Consider the following 26,635-nt stretch of genomic DNA (forward strand, 5'->3'; position numbering starts at 1 on the left):
GACCCAGGTTGTTATTCTAAAGGTGCACTGGAGCCAAACTTCAGGATGGAGCTCAGCTGTTAACCCATTAGTGACTCACCCAATCATGGAGACCCAGGGATTTGTGTGAGGGCTGAGATGCTGCAAGACCTGCTGATTGGGAGCCAAGGATTCTGACTTTTCTCTGCAGACTGAAGGTTCCCTTTCGTCATTTGCCCTTCAGACCTGGAATCCTTGCTTATCAGTGGGAAGTGGCTGTCTGCTGGATCCCATTTGATATCCCTGAGCCTGGGAACTATCTGGTAATGAGTTTCATCTGGAACTAAGTCTGGACCAATATGGATTGTCATTTGCATGGGGTGTATGGTGGCTACCCTGAATGCCAAGTGAAATAAATGTGAAAGCAAAAACACAGGCCCCACCAGTGAGGGTCAGGGGATGTTACTCAGCAAGGTTAGCAAACTACAACACACAGGTCAAATCCAGCCTGCTGTCTGTTTTTTATAAATAAAATTTTATTGGAACGCAGTCACGCTCGTCTTTTTAAATGTATTGCCTATGGCTGCTTTTGTGCTAAAGTAGTAGAGTGCAGTGGCTGTGACAGAGACTGCATGACTGGCAAAGCCAAAAATGTTTACTACCTGGCCCTGGGTTAGGAAAATGCTCACCAACCCCTGGGTTAGATGCACCCTTCCAGAAACACAACCCCTTTCCTACTGACCAGCCCTGTGGACATGCTTTCTCTAGCCAGTGTCCATCTTGAATGCAGGTAACGGCCTGGCCTCAGAGCTGAGGGCACCTGGTGCTGGGCCCATGGCCCTTCAGAGGCTAGCAAACCAGTGCTTCCACAGAAGGCTCAGGAAGATGGGGTGGAGGGTGTGGTGGGCAGCTCCTCTCTGCTGGGCAGCTCCTCTCTGCTGTTGACCCTCACTGGATTCATCATCTAGGGTGTTCTAGTAAGTAATGAAGAAACAAAGAAATTCCTTTGATCAGGGCTATATAAATTTCCTAGGGCTGGTGTAACAAAGTACCACAAACAGACTGACCTACACAAAAGGAACTTATCATCTCAGCTGGGCGCTGTGGCTCACACCTGTAATCCCAGCACTTTGGGAGGCCGAGGCAGGCAGATCACCTGAGGTCAGGAATTTGAGACCAGCCTGGCCAACATGGTAAAACCCCGTCTCTACTAAAAATACAAAAATTAGCCGGGCGTGGTGGTGCATGCCTGTAATTCCCAGCTACTCAGGAGGCTGAGGCCGGAGAATCGCTTGAACCTGGGAGGCGGAGGTTGCAGTGAGCCAAGATTGCGCCATTGCACTCCAGCCCGGGTGACAGAGCGAGACTCTGTCTCAAAAAAGAAAAAAAAAAAAAAGAAATTTATTATCTCACAGTTCTGGAGGCCAAAATCCAAAAATCAAGATGTGGGCCGGCCATACTCCCTCTGATAGTGCTAGGAAAGGATCTGCTCCAGGCCCTTCTCCTGGCTCTGGTAGTTCCTTCGTTTACAGATGATGTTGTCTTTGTTTGTTTCCATTGTCTTCCCTCTGTTTGTCTCTGCATCCAAATTTTCCCCTTTATTAAGGACTCAGTCACGTTGGATTAGAGCCTACCCCAAACACTTTATTTTAACTAATTACACTTGCAACGATCCTGTTGCAACCTCACATTCTGAGGTACCAGGGGTTAGAAGTTCAACATACGAACTTTAGAGGTGGTGGGGGGGCGGTACAATTCAACCTAGAGCAGGAGCTCTGTGTCACTGCAAGGCCTATGTCATACAATAACACGAAAATCTTATGACTGCGATAAAGAGAAAAAAAATCTGTAACATATGGCTCAATAATTGGTGATTAAACTTCTATTCTGTACAAGCTACGATGCTCCATTCTGAATCATTTAAACTTTATGAGAACCCTTTGCAAATGAGAAAATGAGTCCCAAGGTGTTTAATTTCTCAAACAGTAGAGCAGATTTCAAACCCTGGTCTGCCTGGTTTTGAAACCCTCTCCCTGTTCACTAGGCCAGTAGTTCTCAAACTATTATCCTGGAACCAGTGATACCAGGATCACCTGGCAACTTGTTAGTAATGCAAAGCTTCAGGCCCCACCTCACACATACTGAACCAAAAACTCTGCTACAGTAGCAGAAGGGGACTGTGGCCAAAGTTCTGGAATCCATGAATTGGGCCAGGCCTGAGAGCAGGCAGGTTGACATTTATTAGCTACGTAAGTGCCAGGCACATGGCTGATTGGCTTCATTTAGGCTGTTTTATATGATTGTGGTAGGCAGAAAATGGCATCCCCAAAAGGTCCAAATCCTAATCCCCAGAACCGTGAAGGTGTTCCCTTACATGGTAAAAGCGTCTTTGCAGATGTGATGAAATTAAAGATCTTGAGATGGGCAGATTATCTTGGGTTCTCTAAGGGGGGCCAACAAAATCTCAAGGTCTTTATCAAGGAAAGAGGTAGGGAGGAAAGTCAGTTAGAGAATGTGTGAGGATGCTTACACTGGTGGCCTTGAAGATGGAAGTAGGGGCCACGAGCCCAGGAATGGAGACAGCCTCTAGAAGTTGGGAAAGGCAAGGAAATGAATTCTCCCCTAGAGCCTACAGAGAGAGAGAGCTGCCAACACCTTGATTTTATCCCAGTGAAATCCATTTTGGACTTCTGACCTCTGAAACTGTAAGATAATAAATGTGTTATTTTAATCTACTATGTGTGGTAATGTATTCATTTGTTACAGCAGCAACAGGAAACAGATACACTGTATCTGATTGGTTAATGTGTTTCGATCCAGGCAAATATCCAACTTCAAGCTACAAAAGCCAATGCCCGCAGCAGCCTTGTTCCTGGCAACCAGACCTCTCCACTGCTGAATCAGAAAGCTATTAATAGTCCAAAGACCCACCATCCACGGAGGCCAACTTGGCCTTCTCCAACAAGGAAGCTAACAGGTAATAGCGGTTTCAATGACATGGAGTCTAAACCAGTGGGTCTCGGGCTGTGATGTGCATACAAATCACCTGCAAAGCTGATTAGAATGTAGGTTCCGAGGCTGGGCACGGTGGCTCACACCTGTAATCCCAGCACTTTGGGAGGCCGAGGCGGGCAGATCACGAGGTCAGGAGATTGAGACCATCCTGGCTAACATGGTGAAACCCCGTCTCTACTAAAAATACAAAAAAATTAGCCAGGTGTGGTGGCAGGCGCCTGTAGTCCCAGCTATTTGGGAGGCTGAGGCAGGAGAATGGCGTGAACCCGGGAGGCGGAGCTTGCAGTGAGCAGAGATCGCGCCACTGCACTCCAGCCTGGGCGACAGAGCGAGACTCTGTCTCAAAAAAAAAAAAAAAAAAAAAAAAGAATGTAGGTTCCGCTTCAGAAGGCCTGGCATTCTTCATTTCTAACAAGCTCCCACCGGGTGATGTTATTGGCTGTCAGGGGCACGTGCATAGCAAGCCATGGATGCCTACTCATCAGAGACCACCACCTCCTCAGAGTCCCTCTGCATTTACGGGTCTAGGTGAGGGCTTTCAAAATCGGATGGGTCGTCAGCCTCACCTGGGCGCCTGTCAACAAAGGGTGGACTCCACCCCGGGCCTGCAGAACCAGGAATCTACAAGTCTATTGGGCGCCTCCATTCTGAGGCCAGTGGTTTATGCACAGGTGTTTGAACACAACTGCTTGAAATCACAAAAGCAAACAACTCCTCAACAGATTACCTGCACCTCCATTCTGAGTTTGTACAGAATCAGTGCCATTATCTGAAATATGAAATACTTATCCCCTGATCACTCCTCTTTCCTCCTCATCTTAGGACCTCAAGCACTTCAAAGCCTGAGCGAACCCCCCAGAGAAGGTGGCTTGGCCACAGAGGGAGCCCCACAGAGACCCCTGCGAGGCTGAGCAGGGGGACACTGAGCTCCCACTGCAGGGTCAGGGCCAGCTAAACTCTATGGCTTCCTTGCTTTCTGGATCCCAAGCTCTCACCTCCAGCCAGACATTACTAGTGTGAATTCCACCTCCTTTTGCTGGGGAGGGCAAAGTGCAGCAGCCTGCAGGTACAATTTACTCCAGCATGGGCTCATAAAACACTGCAAATGAAACTTCAAAGGCCGTGGGCAGCCACCGCCCATGGGTCCACCTTTCTCCAACCCTCATTAGCCGCCCACCCTTGGAGTTCTCCTCCAGGGTGATCTCAGCTCCCTTCCCTACCCCACCCTCTATTAAGGCTTCCATTAAGTAAGCTGGTTTTATGACATCAGCAGTGATTAAACTGACCTGATTTCTCCCAGGCTGGCAGAGTCAAGAGCCCGAGTCAATAGGAAACCAGTTCCAAGGGACTCAGCTAAGCCACTCAGAGAAAAAAAGACCTGAGCTTTATTCGGAGAGGAAAAAAAAAAAAAATGGTATGCAGCTGCAGCTTACCCCGCATGACACTGCACAGAATCCCAAAGAAATAGAGCGGGAGAGACCCAGCCGTGCCTGCAGCCTGCCCCTCTCTCGGCTTGTGGCTAGGATTAGGGAAATGCTCTGACCTATACACATGGATGGACATTTGCTCAAAAGAGTTGGTATAACTAGCACTATTTCCCTTGGGGACAGTGGCAGCCTCCTGCCAGGTCATCTTGTTTGCTGGGCTTACTCTGGGATTTGCCAGCCCCATCCTTCCACCTAGGTCTCCTCGGACCCACCACACTGCCTCTGGCTTCTTTTTTCATGCTTTGTCCCACACCTGGAGTAGCTTTTTTTTTTTTTTTTTTTTTTTTTTTGCCTTATCTAGTAAACTCCTACTCATCCCTCAAAACCCTGCTCAGGCTTTGATTCGTCCAAAAATCCTTCCTCCCCTCACCCCCAGCCAGAATTACTTTCATGCATATAATTCCGTTTGTTCTGGCCTCAAAGTGTGGTCCCTGGACTGGAAGCTTCAGAATCATCTGGAAATGTGCTAGAAATGCAGGCTCCCAGGCCTCCCCTACCACTCCTTTACAAGTACACAAGGTTAGTGCTTCCGTGGAACACCCATCTCTATAGCATCCTGTGCTTTCCCCCTTTGGCACTGCTCACAACTGTCATTCTTGGATTCTTTGTTTAATATCTTCCCCCCCACCCCCTCCGCCATAGACGAAGTTCCCCAAGACCCAGATTGTGTTTCTGCTCCTGCATCCTTGGTGCCAGCCAGTGCCTGCAACGTTGTAGGGGCACTTCCCCTCTGGGCTCATCATCCTCAGCTCAGGTGCTACTTCATCCTTGCCTGCAAACCTCCAGGTCCTACCCATGGTTTCCTTCCATAAGCATGGGAAGTCGCAGGCAGCAGGGCTCTGGCAGCCTGACCTGACTTGCCAGAGCTTAAGACCTGGCCTGTGTGGGTTAATGATGAAAGCGCTGCCGGGGAGTTTTCACGTGGCTATTTTATACGTCCATCTCCATTGCCCAAGTCCCATTGGATGCCCCCTGCTTTCTTTTGGTTCCTGGGCACATAGTGAGTGCTTTCATTCCTGACTGTAGGTTTCCTGACATGATCTGGTCAGAATAGGGGAATTCTTCATGATAGGTGATTCGCTGTACAAAGTAGTGTTTTAGCAGCTACTGTGTGCCAGGCAGATCCCAGGTGCTAAGGACAGAACTTCGAACAAACAGTAAAAACTCCAGCCTCCTGGGGCTTACATTCCACCGTATGTCCCTGTATTTGTGTTAAAAGAACAGAGTAATGTGTTGCCAGTAAGTAACATTTTCCTGGACTTTAGAAACTGCATTCCCTGTGAAAGTGAGCTGTGGGTTGCTCTGGAGATGTGGCCTGTGTCTCTGAAAAGTTGTCAAAGTTTTCCCTAAGGATTCTAGGAGTCTATCCTTGAGGTAATACCTCAAGGATTTAGTAAGTCTCTGGTTTCTAGGGTGTGGTATTCACAGTGGTGACAAACATTATTGTAAGAGAATGTTCTACCCTTGAGAACTCATCTGGGGATGGGAAGAAAGCCAAAAAGTAAACTGCTTCGTTCTCTAGTTTAATCTGCCTGTTACATGGTCTCCTAGAAGCCTGTATCTTCTCTTCAAAGCACTTCATTGTTTATATGACTATTAGTTTTATCTCTTCCCTCCTCTTTCCTCTCTCTCCTCTCCTGATTGCCTTCTTTCCTCTCCTCCTCCTCCTCCTTCTCCTTCTTCTTCTCCTCTTCTTCATTCTCCTCCTTCTCCTTCTTCTCCTCCTCCTCCTCCTTCTCTTTCTTTCTCCTTCTACTTCCTTTCTCCTTCTCTCCTCCTGTCTCTCTTGTTCACTGATTATTTCTGTCATGCAGCATGTGCCTACACATGCTGGTGTTCTGTCAAATCGGGGGATAAAGGTGGGGAGTGAATCTTGAGATTATCTTTAGACCTGCAATGCTTGTGCATTTGATATTTTTATTTTGGGGCAGAGGAATTTTTTTTTTGGAGATGAAGTCTCGCTTTGTCACCCAGGCTGGGGTACAGTGGTGTGATCTTGGCTCACTGCAACTTCCGCCTTTCAGGCTCAAGCTATTCTTCTGCCTCAGCCTCCCGAGTAGCTGGGATTACAGGCATGTGCTACCATGCCTGGCTAATTTTTGTATTTTTAGTAAAGATGGGGTTTCACCAGTTTGGCCAGGCTAGTCTTGAACTACTGACCTCAAGTGATCCACCTGCCTCAGCCTCCCAAAATGCCAAAATGCTGGGATTACAAGCTTGAGCCACCATGCCTGGCCAGGCAGAAGAATTTTATTTTTGAGATTTATGACCTAATGCAGCCCTTACCAATATTCTTAACACTCTCCTTTTAAGTTTTTGAGTAAGCCTGTTTCATTGCAAGTCATCATTGCCAGCTTCAGGTGTTTGACCCAAAGAAGGATATTTGTATTCCGCTTTGAGCTACGGCTCTACTTAATTAAGTAATCTTAAGTAGATGCTCCTGCCTCAGAAGGCCTCCAAGCCTCTTCCTTGTAAAAGGAGTTGATTGGTCTGTGTGATTCCTTAGGCCTCTCCAGCTCTACAGCCCATCCCCATTCAGCCAGAGGACATGGCGCTTCTTCGAGGTCTCTGCCAGGACATTAGTAGGCAGTGGAAATCTTCCACCAAAATTCAAGGGGGATTTTGAATATCAGAAGATGGAAAATGAGAATCAATCCATCAAATTTATTATTTGTTATTAATTAAGGGTGAAAGAAAAGAGTGAAAGTACTGACCAATATGCATCTGTGATTTCAATTGGCCATGTTGTCACAGTCTTCTGTTTCTGTGTAAAATTAAGATTTGCCTTTATGTCAGCTGCTGGGTATTCAGGCAGACAATGTTGTAGAAGGAGAAAAGTACAGCTGTTTGGTCAGTTCCAGGTTTGAATAATGACACCTCTGTTCACTACCTAGTGATCTTGACCAGGCTTCTCTAAGCCTCAGTTTCCTCATCTGTGAAATAAAAAGAATACCTATCTTATTGTGACTATTATTAAAGAAATGAAATTGTGTATGTAAAATGCTTGGCAAACAGAAAGCACTCAAGAAAAGCTAACTTATGGCTGGGTGCGGTGGCTCATGCCTATAATCCCAGCACTTTGGGAGGCCAAGGCGGGTGATCACCTGAGGTCATGAGTTTGAGACCAGCCTGGCCAACATGGTGAAATGCTGTCTCTACTAAAAATACAAAAAAATTAGCTGGGCATGGTGGCATGTGTCTGTAATCCCAGCTACTCGGGAGGCTGAGATAGGAGAATCGCTTGAACCCAGGAGGGGGAGGCTGCAGTGAGCTGAGATCATGCCACTGCACTCCAGCCTGGGCAATAGAGCAAGACTGTGTCTCAGACAAACAAACAAACAAAGAAAAAACAAACAAAAAAAAGAAAAGCTAACATTTCTACTGACTCTTCCTAGCTGATTTGTGAAAACAAGGTGATGGGCCAATTTGGAGAAAAATATGGGTAGAAGTTGGTGACCTGACTTCACTTAGCCAAGTCTTTTATTCACTGACCATATTGCCATCATCTTACCTGTGTTCCAGAACTGGTTAATTGTTACAGTATAGTCCCAGGGTTTTGAAGGAAAAAAGTGGGAAACTTGCTGCAAAGGCAGCCAGATCTGTCCCCACTCTCCAGCTCCCTGCGGTATTTTAAGTCAGCATCTCAGAGGAGGATGATGGTCACCATCCTATCACCATTTACCATGCTCCTACATAGACATTGTCTCATTTCATTCTCAGCCATAGCAACTCTGTGGGATGGTGGATTACATGTTGTCATCTGGTGAGGAAACTGAAACTCAAGGAAGTCAGATGACTAGCCCCCATTCACACTGCTAATCTGTGGATGGAGAAAGAGTTGAACACAGCTCATGACTCTAGATCCAGAGAGTCTTTTTGCCACTTCATGTTGTCAGGCATAAAATAATGATTCTGTCTTATTTCTGAATATTTAACTTATACGTAATTTCACTCTCACGTTTTCACTTCCTTACAGAATATCTGCTTCTTTCAAGAAGTATTTTAAAGATCAATGCTGTCATATTCATTTATTTTACTATAGATCAAATTCTATGGTAACAAATAAGATTACCAGAAATCCCCAGGTATGTCTACATACGTATATATGTATGTGTGTATGCACATGCATATACATCTTTTTCTTTCAAAATGCTCTATCCAATAGCCCAGAAATACATCCAATTTAAAAGAAAAATAAATGCATTCAATTTAAAATCCCAAATGAACTTGCTCAATTTTGTGGGGAGGGGGGTTGTGTTGAAATTTAATTTCTGTGCTATTTGGGATTCATGCTACTTCTCAGAAGAGACACAGTTTTCCAGTAGAGATAAACGACCTCTTCCAAGAACAATGGAAATGAAAGGGGGATGGGGGTGGGGTGGGGAGTGCTGTGGGTAGAGGGGCAGGAAGCACAGATGAATTGAAAAGAGAAGAGTTATAAGCAGGTTGGCTTCCTTTAAAAAGATGGGATAGGGTCTCCAAAAAATAAATAAAATAAAAAGTTAGGCTATCTATTGGACTATCCTTCAAAGAGCGGCTGTGACTTAGTGTGAAAGCAGATTTTTAAAAAATATGAATACAGTGAGTCACAAAATTCTCTCACCAAAACCAAGATATGAAAAAAAAAAAAAAAAGAGTAGCTTCTATTTTCTTCAAAACTGCTCTGAGCTTTGTGTAAGCCTCATTCCCTGGGGAATCCAGGAAAACTTAGAATTGCCAAGAAGCAATATTCTGATCTCTTCTGATTTAAAGTCTCCTTTCCATTTAACCATTCAGTCTATTCTACTGGGTATCATCTGGTGGGGTATAAGAAGTCTCTTTAGATAAATAATGTTTTCAGAGCATGCCTTTTTCTTTCCTTTCCCAGGATGGTGCATACCATGGGGGATGAGGGGGTCTCTTCCCTCATACTGTGTCTGGACAGACCAGCTCCTTGGACTAGTGACTGCTGAGTGAGCCTGGTTCTGTCTGGCTTCTTGAGAAGCCACATGTGCTGACCCTACTGCTGGAGCCCATAGTCCTGATCATTTCTCCTGGCTCACTGTGGCCTCTCTTGCCACTCCCAAGTTTTTGCTGGTCCACTTGTTTCCTCATAAGCTCTGGGTCCTCTCTCAGGGGCATGAGGGCTCCTTCGGTTGTGAGTAACAGGAAATATGGCCTTGGACTCATCCATTCATTGCCTTCCATCACCTCCACATCATTATTCTTCAATGGTGTTAAACATGTCCTCAAACTAAAGCCTACAACCTCCTTGCATGAGTCCTGGAGAAATTCTCATCCACTGTCTCATCCCAGTATCTTTTATCTCCCCCAGAGAGTGGATGTTTCAGAAGCATCCCAGCCTCGTCTTGAGTTTTCTTCCCTGAGCTGCTGTCTCTGACCTACTTTCTTTACCACCATCTCCCCTTCTCTCCCCGTCTTGGCTCATAAGTGAATGGGGTATTTTCTCTGCACTGGGAAAGAAACTAGATCAGAGTCTTCTAAGCTTGAATCTGATATGTATTGGGAGTTAAGGAAATTCAGACTGGTCTTCAAGATTACTGTCTTGACCACTAAATGTCTTTTGAATGTCAAAAACTGCATGTTCTTTTCTTTGAATTCATGCTGATAATCTTAAACCTGAGACAAATAGATGTCTATGGCAGAAATTTGAGGAAAATCAGTATATTAATGAATTTTTTTAAAATTACAAAAAATTAAAATAAAAATAGACGAATATGTTCTTATTACAAATACTCAACAACACAAACATATATAGTAAAAAGAAAAATTCTGTCTTGCCTTACACCCCATCCTACCATCATAATACCCCATCCTACCATCATACTTTCCCCTCCAGATATAACCACTATTAACAGTTTAGGGTATACCCTTCCAGATTATTTTCTATATGTTTATATACATATGTATGTGAAAACTAAACAAAGGTGTAGTTTTGCTTCTATTTTTAGTGAAGTGACAATGACACATAGTCTTCTTTTACTTAACAATATGTTTTGTAACTCATTCCCTATCAGTAGGTATCAGTCAACTTCACTTTTAAAAACTGATGCGCGGTAATCCATAGCATGGATGGACCATTATTTAGTCAACCATTTTCATGATGTTACATTTACATTATCTTACAAATTTTGGCTTTTATAAACGGTGACACCCTTGTTTACATCTCCTTGTACAGTAGTTCAAGCATTGCAGATATGTTTGCTTCATAAGAACCTAATGTGGAAAGTGATGGCATTCCATATCTGTCTTTTGACCACCTGTAAACATGAAAAACAATGCTGTCAGGAGCGCCGTTGCCAGAAGCTGAGCTTCTGCTTTAATTTTGGTCATTATTCTTCATTTTTACCACTTAATCAGCTCCCCTGAAATGGCAGAGTTTTCAACTTAAATTTTTCTTCTTTAAAAACTTTCTTTTTTTTTAGAGACGGCATCTTGCTATGTTGCCCAGGATGGTCTTGAACTCCTGAGCTCAAGTGATCCTCCTGCCTTGGCCTCCCAGAGTGCTAGGATTACAGGATGAGCCACCACACCCAGCCATCAACTTATATTTTTCTCAATCAAAAAGTACCACAGTATAGATAGAATAAGGCAAATTCCATGTGTTAATCAGTATGGACCTGTTTTTAGTATCATTATTGCAGAGAATAAAGTTGAAACTTCCAGTGCATCATCCTCAAAACTGCAGAGTGGTCTTTTAGTGGGTGGCAGAGTCATGGCAGTGGGTTCTCTCAGTGGTGGTCATGCAGGACAGCAGCATGCCCAAGTTACCCCCATTGTGATGAAGACATGAAATGCTTGCTTCCCTGCACTGTACAGGGCCTCAGTGGAGAACAAGCTTGTGGCTGCAGGCACAGCACAGCTCAGGTGCCAGTTGTCTTGACACGGGTTTGTCGCTACCCAGTTTAGTGAATTCACTACTGGGGAGACTTCATGCCCTCCTTTCTGCTTCCATTGCCTTTACCACCTCCGGCTAAACTATATTCTTTCTCTCCTAGGTCACTGGATAGATGGTCCCTTTGGATCACGTGCTCATCCCTGGCCCAGTCAGCTGTGATCAGAGGAGCAAGACCGTGAGATAAGGCTTGAAACCTAAGGAATTTCAAAGAGGGGGCCATGATGGGCATTCAGCGGCATCTCAGGAGGGGGCAGAGTAACCAGCAGGTGCTTTGCATGCTGGTCTGGTGTGTCTGGAAAAGGCATCCCGCTAAAACGTTTGTCAGGAAACTTCTCATCAGCATTTCCAGCATGCAGGAGCAACCAAGAGAGCCACTTAGATACCATTTGATTATAATGTGTTTCTCAGAGAAATAAATAGCCCAAATGGAAGCACACTTCTGATTGTCAATTTTTTACAAACACCCTGGAACTCAATGACAGTTCTCGAGGATCGATATGGTCTGGTGACAGTGAATTGATTGTTCCAGCAGAGATCTTTAATGAGATTGTTCACACTATTCAGGCACCACCATCTCCAGCAGATTACAATGACAATGGCGGGGCCTTGTGAATATAGAAAGCAAAGCAGCCTTCCTGCTCATTTCTTTTTGAAAGCACTAACCCCTAGCAGCAAGGCCTTCTTGTTAATTAGTTGTTAATTATTGGGACAACTCGTGAAATGTTTATTAAAGAGCTGGTCCAGTGGCAAAGAAAAGAACCCAGGGCAAGAGACAGAATTGAAGGGTAATAAAAGGAACGAATACGCTTTTACACAGTTCACTGGCACCAAGGAAATTCTAGCAACTCACTCTTCTGGTGCAAGAGGAGAGGTACTGTAGAAATGCATAGCAAACAAACTAGAATGGATGAAAATGTAACAGACACATAGAGCTAGAAGGAACCTCTATAATTATCTTCCCTTATTTTACAGATTGGGAAACCCAGGTAACAGTGCATAGATGAATTGCCTAAGGTTCTGCTTCTAGTTGGTGTCCTGCGAATCAGTTCAGCCCAGAGAACTCATCACTACCAGGCCCAGTTGAAGGTGAGTGGTGGGGCATTTGGCTTAGACCTCCCATTAAAAAGGGGCTCTATTCTGGTGTTTTTTCTTTACCCTCAAATGACATGTATGGTCTATGATGTATATAGTCAAAGTAACACACTTACAGGCTATGATCAAAGCAGTAAGCCCACAGATTTAGATTGTCTTTCATGTAACTTTTAACCTATATCCCATGACTGTATAACCAGACTACACCACCTTTGAAACATTATAAATGAATACTTCAAAAACAAATTCCATTATTGTGTGAACAATTATATTGTGTCATCTACTTATTCTTTTTTTGTTTTTTTTTTGCTATGAAAAGTTAATTTGTTACGTGTATATTTACAATATACCGTAGTTTCTGTTATCTTGTTTTGGCATTTAAAATTTTTTTATCTTCTCTTCATTTTAAAAAAAATATTCTAAAATCTACAAAAATAGAAGCAGTCCAGGCTTCTCGAAACTCTCGGGGCTCTTGTTCCCTGCTCTATATGCTCTCATTGTAGCATGTCACTTTCATAAGTGATTTAAGTTGGCACAATCAGGTTGTAGCTTTGATGATGTTACATTAACATTATCTTACAACTTTTGGCTTTTATAAAGGATGACTATTTTTTTTAAAGTAGGAGATTCTGTGTTGCATATCTGTAAAGCTGTCATAGGAACCCAGAACTTTGCTACCCATCTCCTGGGAGGTGTAGACAACCTGGACACCAGTCCTGGTAAATTCTTAGGGAAGAGCAGTTAGTATTTTCGTTCTCTATACTAGCCACGCCGATTTATTTGGGTGGCTCTGAAATACGCCTTCAAGTTCATTCCTATGCACAATCATCTTTTAACTTAATATAGTTACTTAATATAGTTGACTTAGTACAGTAAACTTAATACAGTTAATTTAATATAGTTTACCTGCAATATAGCAGGTAAAAAAATCAGAGTAGGGGTAAAGTAAGAATATTATTAAAAGCATTTTTATTCTCCCTTGAAGAGTTGCTGTAAAATGTTATCTTTTCATTCCTGCTTTCTGCTTTCAGAAGTGATTTGGAAAGTATTGCTGGATGATGCCACTTTTATACTGAAACTATGTAGGTTCTATGCAATCTATGATAATTGAAGAAAAAGATAGATTCTATTCCTTAGGAAACCCTTCAGTCCCTTACACTGGCCCTGTTACGTGACGCCAGGCATGCAGTCTTACCTGATGCAGCTAGTACTTCTCTCTGTCTCATTCCTCTCCCAAGTCACACTGTGTAGTCTCAATGGTTCTCAAACTTTAGTCTGCAAGAGATCACCTTGCAAACTGGTATAAATTGTGGAACCCAGCCTCTCTCGCAGAGATTCTGATTCATTAGATGTGGGGCAGGGCCGAGGAATCTGCATTTTTAAGAAACACTGCATTTTAGTGTTAGGCATTTTAGAAGCACCCTTGAGAAACTCTGATCTGCCCGCATTTTCTTACCAGTCCCTTGACATGGATGCATGTTTTTGCATCCATCCAAGGGACCTGGTAAGAAGCCTCTGAATTACAGTCTTTATCTGTTTATTTGGGTGACTCACTCCTGGGATCCCTGGGGAGATGCCCCCTCCTCACTCAGCCTGTCTCCCAGGACCTGCCTCCACTCCCCTTGCCTCTGGCAGGGAGAAGAAAAGGAGCCTGGAGAAGGGCAGACCCCCAGCAGGATAATGCCTACCAGTGGGACCTTCCTTCTAGGCTCACTGCATTGCCTATGATTATTTTTTTAGAATAGATTTAGAAAAAACCCAGGCCAGTTGGGGCCAGTTCTGGTGATTCTGGTTTATGATCAAGTGGGAGAATTACTGTTCAGGATCAAGCTACATATAACTATAACACACATCACAGCTGGCATTCTGGCTTGGGTCATAAATGCATCCGTGGCATTAGATGCAGCGTTTCAAAAATACTCTCTGCAGTGATGGTAGATATCACAGCCAGGCTGCCCTGAATGAACTCACAGGTTGCTTACAACTTGCTCTTGTTCCAACCAGTCGGGCAGCCATTTTTATTGGCTGAGTGTCTCATTGATTCATTGGTACTCTGCTATGCCAGTTGTTAAATACTTGTACTACTGGAATTAATATATAATTTTTCTCCTGAAGGACGAAACTCCTGTGAATATCTCAATTCAGAATGTTTCTTAAAAATCTAATCTTGTGAACTAATAGTCAATCTTTGCAAATGATGTAAGTCATATGACTCACATTCTAAGTGAAAATCTACTTTAAGCCAGGTTAATATTGGTCCTACATTTATTCCAGGTATTAGCTTATATAAGCATGAAATCTCCATGCTGTTTTTTCTACTGTTGCAAGCATTCACTTCCAAAGTATGCATAAGGTTGGAAATTTAATACTCCCAATACTCCAGCAAAAAGATGCCTTTAACTTTCTTGGCCATATCTTTAGCTTGGTTTCCTACAGATGGTACTCTGCTGATTCATTTCCTGATGGTGCACTCAAGTTGATTGTTTTATTCTTTCGAAGAATGTTATAAATTGCAGTTTGCTTAGAGTTGAATGATGATGGGGTGGGCTGGGGTTTACAGTTGAGAAGCACCACTTTAGCTTATAATAAGACGCATATAATTTCAATTCACGAAATAGGCTGGGGAAGTATTTATAAATAATTATATGTCTGGATGTGTTTGTATATATAGTTACATTTATTTTTAAGCATACATAGAATTTAAATTAAATATAAAAATATTCACACATATAGTAATGCAAAAAACCACTATACCATTAAAAAATTTTTAACTTAAGTTCCAATTCTGGGGATACAAGGAGTGGTCAATTCTCCGTTATCACCACACCTGACTTATCAGTAGAACACTAGATACAACTGATACATCCTTCCTTCATTTTGCTGCCAGACATTACTTGCAGTTGGCTTTCCTTCTGCCTCTGGGACTGCACCATCTGTTAGTCACCTTTGCTTGTTCCTTCTCTTTTGACCAACCTCTGAGCATCAGAGTGAGGAGGGTTTAATCTTTGGACCTTATATGTAGCTATACTCACTTCCTAAAATTTCAGACTTGTGTGTCCAATTACCTAGTTAACTTTCCATTTGGATGTCTAACAAACATCTCCTGCTGAGTGTGTCCAAGGCAGAACTCTTAATTTATTACCCCTCATCCCAACCTCACCACTCCTGTTGTTTTTCCCATCATAATAAAAGGGAATTTCTTTATTCTCCTTGTTTAGGCCAAATCCTCAAAGTTATGTTTGACTGTTCTTCTTTTCTCATACTCCGTATTCAATCTGTCAGCAAATCCCATTTTCCTTTGAAAGGGCTCTTCCTTTGAAATATAATCTGCCAACCTCACCACCTCCTTCACTTTCCTGGTCCAAGGCTCTGTAATCCCTCTACTGTATTATTGCCATGGCCTAATTACTGGACTTCCTATCTCTCGTCTCTCTTAGACTTTTCTCAGCACAACGACCAGACTGATCCTCTTTTTTTTCTATTTTGACAGAGTCTTGCTCCGTTGCTCAGGCTGGCGCGATCTCGGCTCACTGCAAGCTCCGCCTCCCGGGTTCGCACCACTCTCCTGCCTCAGCCTCCCGAGCAGCTGGGGCTACAGGCGCCGCCACCACGCCCGGCTAATTTTTTGTATTTTTAGTAGAGACGGGGTTTCACCGTGTTAGCCAGGATGGTCTGGATCTCCTGACCTCGTGATCCGCCCACCTCGATCCTCTTAAATTTTAAGTCCAAACATGTCACGTTTTTGCTCAAAACCCTCCAATGGTTTCCCAAATCATTCAGCACAAAAACCAAAGTCCCTCTAATTACTTATAATACTCTCCCCCAACCTACCATCCCTAACCTCATCACTAATACTCTTATACTTAATCATCTGCTACAGCCTACAATTTCCTCTGCTGTTCCTCAAACATCCCAAAGATTTTGTCACCTGAAGGTCTTTGCATGTTCTGCCTCCTCGTCCTGGAAAGCTTTTCCCCAAATACCATTTTGTCTCTGCCTTCAGATTTTTGATCAAATGTCACCTTGCTCCCAAAGTTTTCTCTGGCCATGCTATTTAAAGTACAATGCTCTGCTCCACTCCTTGCAATCTCAATGCCTCTGTCCTGCTTTAGTTTTCCTTTGTAGCTGTTATCATCAACTGACATAGAGATTGCTTATGTATTTTGTCGTTTTCTGTCTCCTCACATTAGGAACTAGGGTTCGTGAGAGTGGGGGTTTTGTAGGCTTTGGAAATTAGTATTTCTTTAGCAACAAGAACAGTGTATATGGCAGACACTCAATAAATCCTTGCTTTAAAAAGTAACAGTGTATCATGATAAAAATACATAGGCACATGAATGAAATATAAATACAATGGTATCCATCTCCAATATGTTCTCCAATGATCTTTACCTGCTGCTAAAGAATTAGTGTAGTCCTCCTCTCCATTGTATCAGGGTTAATCTGTGTAACCAATAGATTATGTAATGTTGTGTGACCTCTGAGACTAGATTGTAAAAAATAGTACAGTTTCTATTTTGTTCTCTTGGATCACTGACTCTGAGGGAAGCCAGTGACAATGGGGACACTCAGCAGCCCTGTGGAGTGGGTCATGTGGCATGTAATTAAGACTTCCATCCAGCCAATAACATTTTGCCAGCCATGTGAGTGAGTCATGCTGGAAATGGATTTGCCAGCCCCAGTAAGCTTCAAATGGTTACAGATCTGGCCAACATCTTAACTACAACTTAACGAGAGACTCCAAGCCAGGACCACCAAGATAAGCTGCTCCCAAATTCCTAACACAGACATTGTATGAGATTAAAAAGAAGTTTATTGTTGCTCTAAGCCAGTAATTTTGACTAAATTTGTTATACAGAAATAGTAATTAATATGGATTTTTGTACCTAAATTTTATACCCGGAATGCTGTAACAAAAATCAAAATGTGGGAGAAGCTTTGGAATTCTTAGGATCCAGAAGAATTTTAAGGAGAACATTAAGTGAAAAACTGAAGGACTTTGAAGAGACTGATAGCAGAAACCCAATGTTCTTTGAAGAGGCTGCCATTAAGAGCTTAATGAAAAGTAAGAAAAATGTCATTGGCCATGAAAGAAAGGGAATCCTTGTTATGTAGTGGGAAAAAGTTTAGCAGTGCTGTCATCTGTGATAATATTAAAAGAAGGAAATTCACCTATTGAATTGGTGAATCTAACTAAGGAGATTTCCAGGCAGAGTATTGAAGGTGCCCCCTGGTTAAGTCTTGCTTCAAAATGTGAGTGGAGACAAATAAGCTAAAATAGTAGCTCTTAATTTAAAGTAAAACCCAGGAATTTCTGGATTTGAAAATTTCTAGCCTTTCTGGATGTCAACTGATACTAATATATAGCAACGACTTCTGGGCAAAGATGAAACCCTTTTTTTTTCTCAGGGAATCATGGTATAAAGATGAAACATACAATGTGACTGTAAAATACTTTGTTGAAGATTCAGAAAGATCCAAGACAGTGTCTCCTTAGAGAATTGTTGAGTCAAACAACAGGGCTTCTAACAAGCTTAAGGGTGATATCCCTGAGCAGTCCCAGCAGAAGCCCAAGATATAGAAATGCTTATCTCAAAAAGATTTGTAAATGTGGCCTTTGACTAATGTAGTAAGCATCAATAATATTTAAAGGAGATCCACAAAATTTTAAAAGAATAGTATTAGCAAAACTATCTCTAGCATGAACTAAAAGAGACAAGGACAATAAAAATGAAGAGGACATTTGACCCCAAAATTTATGGGAAGGAAGAAGTGTGAAAAAACTACTGAAGTATAAACATGGGCTATCTTTCATAGAAAATGAAGGATGCCTCAAAGGGCAAAACCATGATCCCAGAAGGTGGGGGCAGGAACCATGGAGAATTATTCTCAGGACTTCACTCCCAATCAAGGAACTACCAGAACATGTGCTGACAAATTTCAGAATTGTTATGTGCCAGGGACTCCTGTGTGACTCTCTTTCTCTCCTACATGGTTATTTTATTCCTAGGCTACCATTGTAGATTGAGTTTGTTGGAGAAGCATATAACTTATTTCTTTAGTTTGCAGGCTTTCAGATCAACAGTAACTGTGCTCAAATAATTGGACTTGAAGAGCCTCATCTGCACATGGACCTGATTTGGATAATGAGCATCTGGACTTTGAGCTGATGCTCTGATGAGATGAGAGTTTTGGAAAGCTTGAAAGGGGATGGGTATATTTTGCATGTTAGAGGGCATAAATCATTGACAGCCAGAAGGTGGACAGTGATAGGTAATCTCTGATGGCCATCAGTGATTCTTTCTTCCTAGAAATTATGCTCTGTGTTGTCAGCCTTCTTCCAAAATGAATGGGGCTTAACTATGTAACTAATGGGATATTTTTAAAGGACGGTATGTGACTTCAGTGGCTAAGTTTTTAAAAATTTGTGGCTTCTACAGGGATGCCCTCTCTCACCACTCCTATTCAACATAGTGTTGGAAGTTCTGGCCAGGACAATCAGGCAGGAGAAAGAAATAAAGGGTATCAACCAGGAAAAGAGGAAGTCAAATTGTACCTGTTTGCAGATGACATGATTGTATATTTAGAAAACCCCATCATCTCAGCCTAAAATCTCCTTAAGCTGATAAGCATCTTCAGCAAAGTCTCGGGATACAAAATCAGTGTGCAAAAATCACAAGCATTCCTATACACCAATAACAGACAAACAGAGAGCCAAATCATGAGTGAACTCTCATTCACAATTGCTTCAAAAAGAATAAAATACCTAGGAATCCAACTTACAAGGGATGTGAAGGACCTCTTCAAGGAGAACTACAAACCACTGCTCAAGGAAATAAAAGACAACACAAACAAATGGAAGAACATTCCATGCTCATGGATAGGAAGAATTAACATCATGAAAATGGCCATACTGCCCAAGGTAATTTATAGATTCAATGCCATCCCCATCAAGCTACCAATGACTTTCTTCACAGAATTGAAAAAAAACTACTTTAAAGTTCATATGGAACCAAAAAAGAGCCCACATTGCCAAGTCAATCCTAAGCCAAAGAACAAAGCTGGAGGCATCACACTACCTGACTTCAAACTATACTACAAGGCTACAGTAACCAAAACAGCATGGTACTGGTACCAAAACAGAGATATAGACCAACGGAACAGAACAGAGCCCTCAGAAATAATACCACACATCTACAACCATCTGATCTTTGACAAACCTGACAAAAACAAGAAATGGGGAAAGGATTCCCTATTTAATAAATGGTGCTGGGAAAACTGGCTAGCCATATGTAGAAAGCTGAAACTGGATCCCTTCCTTACACCTTATACAAAAATTAAGATGGATTAATACAAAAATTCAAGATGGATTAAAGACTTAAATGTTAGACCTAAAATCATAAAAACCCTAGAAGAAAACCTGGGCAATACCATTCAGGACATAGGCATGGGCAAGGATTTCATGACTAAAACACCAAAAGCAATGGCAACAAAAGCCAAAATTGACAAATGGGATCTAATTAAACTAAAGAGCTTCTGCACAGCAAAAGAAACTACCATGAGAGTGATCAGGCAACCTACAGAATGGGAGAAAATTTTACAATCTACCCATCTGATGAAGGGCTAATATCCAGAATCTACAAAGAACTTAAACAAGTTTACAAGAAAAAAATCAAACAACCCCATCAAAAAGTGGGCGAAGGATATGAACAGACACCTCTCAAAAGAAGACATTTATGCAGCCAAGAGACAAATGAAAAAATGCTCATCATCACTGGTCATCAGAGAAATGCAAATCAAAACCACAATGAGATACCATCTCACACCAGTTAGAATGGTGATCATTAAAAAGTCAGGAAACAATAGGTGCTGGAGATGATGTGGAGAAATAGGAATACTTTTACACTATTGGTGGGACTGTAAACTAGTTCAACTAGCCATCTTTGAAAACAATCTACTACAAGTAGAATTTGCCCCATTCTCACCTTTTAATTAGTAGATTATCACGTCATCATAATCATCATTTTGTGCTAAGACAAATTATGAAATTAAAACCAAATCACTTTAAAGAAATACTTAGCATTTTGAGGAACACATTTATGGTGAACATATCACTTTTTTCCGGCTTTGGCTTAAAGCAAGTTACATAGTTGGGATTCTATTGGATTCTTTCTTGCTCCCTGGTTCCAAAAGACACCATAGTAATACTCCATACTCTTATAGCTTTAGGCTACTTGCTGTAAGAGATAAAAAACTGTTTTCCCACTTTCAAATCACTCACCACTCTCAGTACTTTACTTCTGACACCAGATATATGGGGAGTTTTCCCCACACACTAAGAAATTCTCCAATGAGCACTAACTGGGTTTCCTACAATTTAACTCAATCCTGACACTATGTATCTGGAGTTAGGGTCAGAACCCACAGGTAAAGGGCTCAGTCCTGTAAGAGTGCCCCCCACCCCTCAAAGACATCAATCACACATACTAAGTTGTCACATATACTTCTGACTGAACAGTTATAAATCAGGGTTCCCATATCCTGTTCTCATATTTGAAGAATTTGTTAGAATGACTCATGGAACTCAGAGAAATACTTACACTTACTGGTTAATTATAAAGGATACTACAAATGATACAGAGGAACAGCCAGATGAAGAGGTATATAGAGCAAGGTATGAGGGAAGGGGTGAGGAGTTTCCATACTGTCTCTGAGGGCACCATTCTCCAGGCACCTCCATGTGTTTAACAATCCAGACATTCTCTACATTCTGTCCTTTTTTTTTTTTTTGAGATGGAGTCTCGCTCTGTCGCCCAGGCTGGAGTGCAGTGGTGCAATCTCGGTTCACTGTAAGCTCTGCCTCCCAGGTTCACGCCATTCTCCTGCCTCAGCCTCCCGAGTAGCTAGGACTACAGGTGTCCACCACCATGCCCAGCTAATTTTTTGTATATATATATTTTTTTTAATAGAGAAGGGGATTCACCATGTTAGCCAGATGGTCTCGATCTCCTGACCTTCTGATCCGCCCATCTCAGCTTCCCAAAGTGCTGGGATTACAGGCGTGAGTCACTGTGCCTGGCCTGTCCTTCTGTTTTTTTATGAAGGCTTCATTATGCAGGCATGACTGATTACCATTGGCCATTGGTAATTAAGTCAATCTTCAGCCCTTCTTCCCTCCCTGAAAATCAGGGTGGGGTGGGGCTGAAAGTTCCAACCCTCAAACCACATGGTTTGTTCCCCTGGCAATCAGCCCTGATCCTGAGGTGATCCTGAAGCCCACTGAGTTGCCTCATTAGAACAAAAGATGCTCCTATCAAAAGATGCTCCTAAAAGGGATTTAGGAACTCTGCACTAGATGCTTCTATCACTCAGAGAATTACAAATTTCTTAGGAGCTCTATGGCAGAAGCCAGGGTCAAAGACAAAATATTTAACAAAAGATTCTCCTAGCATTCCTATCTAAAAAGACTTTAAGTGCTCTACATCAGGAAGTGGGTGCAAAGACCAGTATATATATTTCCTATTATTTTCACATTTGCCTTTAATTAGAATTCTGTATTGCAGAAATTCACACACATACATATGCTCACTATGCTGATATATGTAGAGTCCAATGAGAATAACAATAATTTCAGAAATGTCTGATTGCCAAAATCAGATACTATTTTTCTTAGACTTCAAAAATAGCGTTGCCATGATAATCTCTCTTTTCAAAGCATAGCTCTCATGCATTTTGCAAAGTTATTGGTGATCCTTAAACAATCATTAAGTAAGTGACTGAATCTAATGCTAGGTAAATATTTGTTGTTTAGAGTAAGATTGTGGAATAGAAATATCCAGCACTCATTCCCTCACATAAACATCAATTTGAGCAACCAATCATGCATGAAAATATCTTCACAAGATCTAAGAAACCCAGCTGAGAGACTACAGCACACGGCTGAAGCACAGAAATAAGAAAAATGCATTGAAGAGGGTAGGAAGGACATTTTCACATAAACTGCACCACCCCTTCTCTAAGCCCATGCAGCACAGTGCAGAGAGAGATTCCCTCCACGTGGAGGAATAAGCATGAATAAGCACCCAATTTTTCCATGGACTCTAGCACCAGGCCTGTCTCAGTGGACTCTAATACCAGGTCAGCTCCTGCAACCCCTGGCTCTAGGCTCACCCTGAAGACCCAGGCTCTAGGACAACCCTAGCATCAGGCCAGCCCCCTGATGCAGATTTCAGCAGACCCAGAGCCCAGGCTTGCCCTAGTAGACTTTGCAACCATGCCATTTCTTACAGACTCAAAACCAGGTTTACCCCTAAGGACCCAGGCACTAGGCCTACCTCAGCACTAAGTTGTCTTCTGCAGACCCTCAGGGCCACCCTCATGGGTCTAGTCACTAGGCCCATTCTAGTAGGTCCCAGTGCCAGGTTGGCTCCTGTGGACCCAGGCACCAGGACAGCCCACCTGAGGACTCCAACAGCAAGCACTCCCATAGACCCCACCAGCTGGCCTACCAAGAATTTCTGGACAGGTTAACTGGTGAAGAGTTTTTTATGCCAAAGTCAGTCTGTAAGTATTGGAAGAGATGCCTATTTCTTCAAATACATAGACACCAATACAAGGCCATAAGGATCATGGATTATCAGGGAAACATGACACCACTAAAGGAACAAAGTAAAGCACCAGTGATGTAGAACTACAAACTGCCTGACAAAGATTGCAAAATATTTATTTTTTAAAAGCTTAGTGAGCTATAAGGGAACACAAATAAATAGGTAAACAAAATCAGAAAAACAATATATGTACATAATGAAAAGTTCAACAAAAAGATAGAAATCATTTTTTAAAGTACCAAACAAAAATCCTGGAACTGAAGAATACAATGACTGAATTAACAAATTTCATAGACAGCTTCAACAGCAGACTCAGTTAAGCAGAAGAAAGAATTAGTGACCTGTAAAGGAGTTCATTAGAAATTATGTAGTCAAAGGAACAAAAAGAAAAAGAATAAAGATGTGTGAAGAAAGTCTATAGGACTTATGGGACACTGCCAAGTAAATCAATAAACACATTATGGTAGTCAAAAAAAGAAGCAGAGAAAGAGAAAGGGGAAGAAAGCTTATTTAAAGAAGTAATGATAGAAAACTTCTCAAATCTGGAGAAGAAAACGAACCTACAAATCCATGAAGCCCAAAGAACCCCAAGTAAATTAAGCAGAAAGAGATCTTCACCAAGACACATTATAATTAAATTCTCAAAAGTCAAAGACAAGGAGAGAATTTTGAAAGCACCAGGAGAAAAGCAACTTGTTACATACAAAAGAAGCCACACACAACTATCAGCAGAAACCTTGCAAGCCAGGAGAAAGGGGGATATATACTCAAAGTCCTAAAAGAACAAAAAAGCTGTCAATCAAGAATACTATATCTAGCAAAGCTATCCTTCAGCAATAAAAAAGAGATAAAGACTTTCCTATACCAACAACAACAACAACAACAAAAACACCTGAAGGAGTTTATTATTACTACACCTACTTTACAGGAAAAGCTACAGAGAATTCTTCAAGTTAAAATAAAAGGAGACTATCACCAGGAAAAATATGAAAGAATAAAACACTGTAAAGGTAAAAAAACAAAAAAAAAGTCAAATCCAGAATATTCTAATATCATATAGGTGGTATGTAAATCACTTTTAACTCTAGTATAAAAGTTAAAAAGCAAAAGTATTAAAAATAACAAAAGCTGCAATAATGTATTGATGAATACATAAATATCAAAGATGTAAATTGTGACTTCAAAAACAAAGTGTAGGAAGAGAAGTTAGAGTGTAGAGAGTTCTTGTATGCAGTAAAAGTTAAGTTGTTATCAACTTTAAAAAGACTGTTGTGACTATAAGATATTTTATGCAAGCATCATGATAACCGTAAAGATAAAATCTGTAATAGATGTGCAAAAAAATAAAGAAAAGGAATCAAAGCATATCACTACAAAATTTTCTCAAATCACAAGGGAAGACAGCAAGACAGGAAGAAAGCAACAAAGAAACTACAAAACAATCATAAAGGAATTAACAAAATGGCAATAGTAAGTCCTTATGTATTAACAATTACTTTAAATGTAAATAAATTAAGTTCTCCAATCAAAAGACATACAGTGGCTGGACGGATTAAGAAAAAGAAAAAACAGGTTCCAACTATACACTGCCTACAAGAAACTCACTTTGGCTTTAAGAACACATATAGGCTGAAAGTAATGGGATGGAAAAGAATATTTCATGCAAACAGCGACCAGAAGAGAGCAGGGTGGCTATACTTACATCAGGCAAAATAGCCTTTAAGTCAAATGTGTCACAAGAGACAAAATGACAAAGAGGTCAATTCATCAAGAAGATACAACGATTGTAAATATATATGCATCCAACATTGGAGAACCTAAATATACAAAGTAAATATTAACAGAACTTAGGAAGAGATAGACAGTAATACATAGTTGTAGGGGATTTCTACTTCACTTTCAATAATGGATAGATCATCCAGATAGAAAATCAATAAACAAACAGTGGACTTGAACAACCCTATAGATCAAAGGGACCTAGCAGATATACACAGAAGATTCCATCCAATAGCAACGGAATATTCACCAAGATAGTTTTTATGTTGGCCCACAAAACAAGTCTTAACAAATGTAATAAGATTAAAATCATATCGAGTATCTTTTTCAGCCACAAGGGTATGAACAAGTAATCAATAACATGAGGAAAATTGGAAAATTCATAAATATGTGAAAATTAAACAACACACTCTTAAACAACCAATGAATCAAAGAAGTAACCAAAAAGGAAATTTAAAAATATCTTGAGACCAACAAATATAGAAACATAACATACCAAAAGTTATTAGATGCAGCAAAAGAAGTTCCAAGTGGGAAGTTAATAGTAATAAATGTCTACATTAAGAAAAAAGAAAGAATAAAGATCAGATAAAAAAATAAATGAACTAGAGACCAGAAAAACAATAAAATAGATCAATAAAACTAGGAGTTTTGTGTTCTTTTAAAGATAAACAAAATTTACAGACCTTCAGCTAGACTTACTAGGAAAAAAAGAGAAGAATCAAATAAAAACAATTATAGATGAAAAATAAGGCATTACAACTGAAACCACAGAAACACACAGAATCATTAAAAAAAAAAACCTACCACCAACAACTATATGCCAACAATTTGGATACTCTAAAATAAATAAATTCTTAGAAACATATAACTTACCAAGACTGAATTATATAGAAATAAAAAATATGAACAGAACAATGATGAGTAAGGAGATTGTATCAGTAATCAAAAGCTCCCAAGAAAGAAAAGCCTAGGACTTGTTGTCTTCACTGGTAAATTCTACCAAACATATGAAAAAGAATTAATGCCATACAAATATATTCAGACTCTCTGGCAAAAAAAAAAAAAAAAAAAATTAATGCCAATCCTTCTCAAATCCTCCCAAAAAATTGAAGAGGAGGGAACACTTTCAAACCCATTTTATGAGGCCAGCATTACCCTGATATCAAAGACAGACAAGGACACTACAAGAAAAGAAAATTATACGCCAATATCCACAATGAACATAGATGTGTGAATCCCCACCAAAATACTAGCAAACACATTAAAAGGTTCATATACCTTTATCCCTAGGATGCAAGTATAGGGGAAGAATAATATCTCTTCCTTCTTCTCCCCTAATTTCATTGCTTATGTCCCCACAACGAAAGAAAGATTAACAAGAGAAAAGCACACCCATTTATTTAATGTATGTTTTATCTGACATGGGAGGCTTCATAAGGAAATGGAGATCTGAAGAAACAGTTAAACCTTTGTATATTTTTGCTATGTTTGATGAAGAGTGGATAGTCATTGAAAAATATAGGGCAAAAGAGGTAAGATCTAATGGTAACAAACTAGAGGAAACTTAGTAAGGCCTGCTTGTTCAGATTCTTCTCCGTGACAAATGAAGATAAGGATATTTCTTTCCTCCAGATAAAGAGAGGGCATCTCTCACATGAGGGTCTTATTACCTACTTCAGGGGAAAGTCAGAAAATCTTTTCTAGGTTTTATAGCTTGCTTCAGGGGAGAAGGATGGGAGAGAGTCAGAGAGACCTTCCTACACAAGCTGTTTCTCAAATTCTTTCAGCTTAAATATTCA

At 41.1% G+C, this 26,635-nt stretch overlaps 2 long non-coding RNA genes across 3 annotated transcripts, besides 2 other annotated features; one reads left to right on the top strand and one right to left on the bottom strand.

Annotated features, from left to right (window-relative positions):
• Positions 1-474: 474 nt before the first annotated feature.
• LOC124900694 (uncharacterized) lies at positions 475-4,174 on the bottom strand. Its single transcript, XR_007058100.1, has 2 exons — positions 3,969-4,174; positions 475-932 (listed from the first exon to the last, which is right to left on the bottom strand). It is a non-coding gene; the product is annotated as an uncharacterized LOC124900694 (long non-coding RNA).
• Positions 3,304-3,473: an enhancer, noted in NCBI's record as "experimental_79608 CRE fragment used in MPRA reporter constructs". NCBI's record gives its function as "activates a minimal promoter by MPRAs in K562 erythroleukemia cells, with activity observed for both the introgressed and non-introgressed 4:38280712 variant alleles {active_cell/tissue: K562}" and the evidence as "EXISTENCE:reporter gene assay evidence [ECO:0000049][PMID:34662402]".
• A 105-nt stretch (positions 4,175-4,279) lies between the features above and the next one.
• On the top strand, positions 4,280-11,794 carry LOC105374409 (uncharacterized). Of its 2 annotated transcripts, NR_188372.1 has the most exons (3): positions 4,280-4,387; positions 4,884-4,979; positions 11,459-11,794. It is a non-coding gene; the product is annotated as an uncharacterized LOC105374409 (long non-coding RNA). The 2 variants fall into 2 exon arrangements; NR_188373.1 differs by lacking the exon at positions 4,884-4,979.
• Positions 5,225-5,384: a silencer, noted in NCBI's record as "fragment chr4:38282548-38282707 (GRCh37/hg19 assembly coordinates)". NCBI's record gives its function as "represses an EF-1alpha promoter that drives an FKBP-Casp9 reporter gene in an ReSE screen in HepG2 liver carcinoma cells {active_cell/tissue: HepG2}" and the evidence as "EXISTENCE:reporter gene assay evidence [ECO:0000049][PMID:32094911]".
• Positions 11,795-26,635: the final 14,841 nt, after the last annotated feature.

Source organism: Homo sapiens, chromosome 4 (assembly GCF_000001405.40).
Source record: "Homo sapiens chromosome 4, GRCh38.p14 Primary Assembly".
In the NCBI taxonomy this organism is placed as follows: Eukaryota; Metazoa; Chordata; class Mammalia; order Primates; family Hominidae; genus Homo; species Homo sapiens.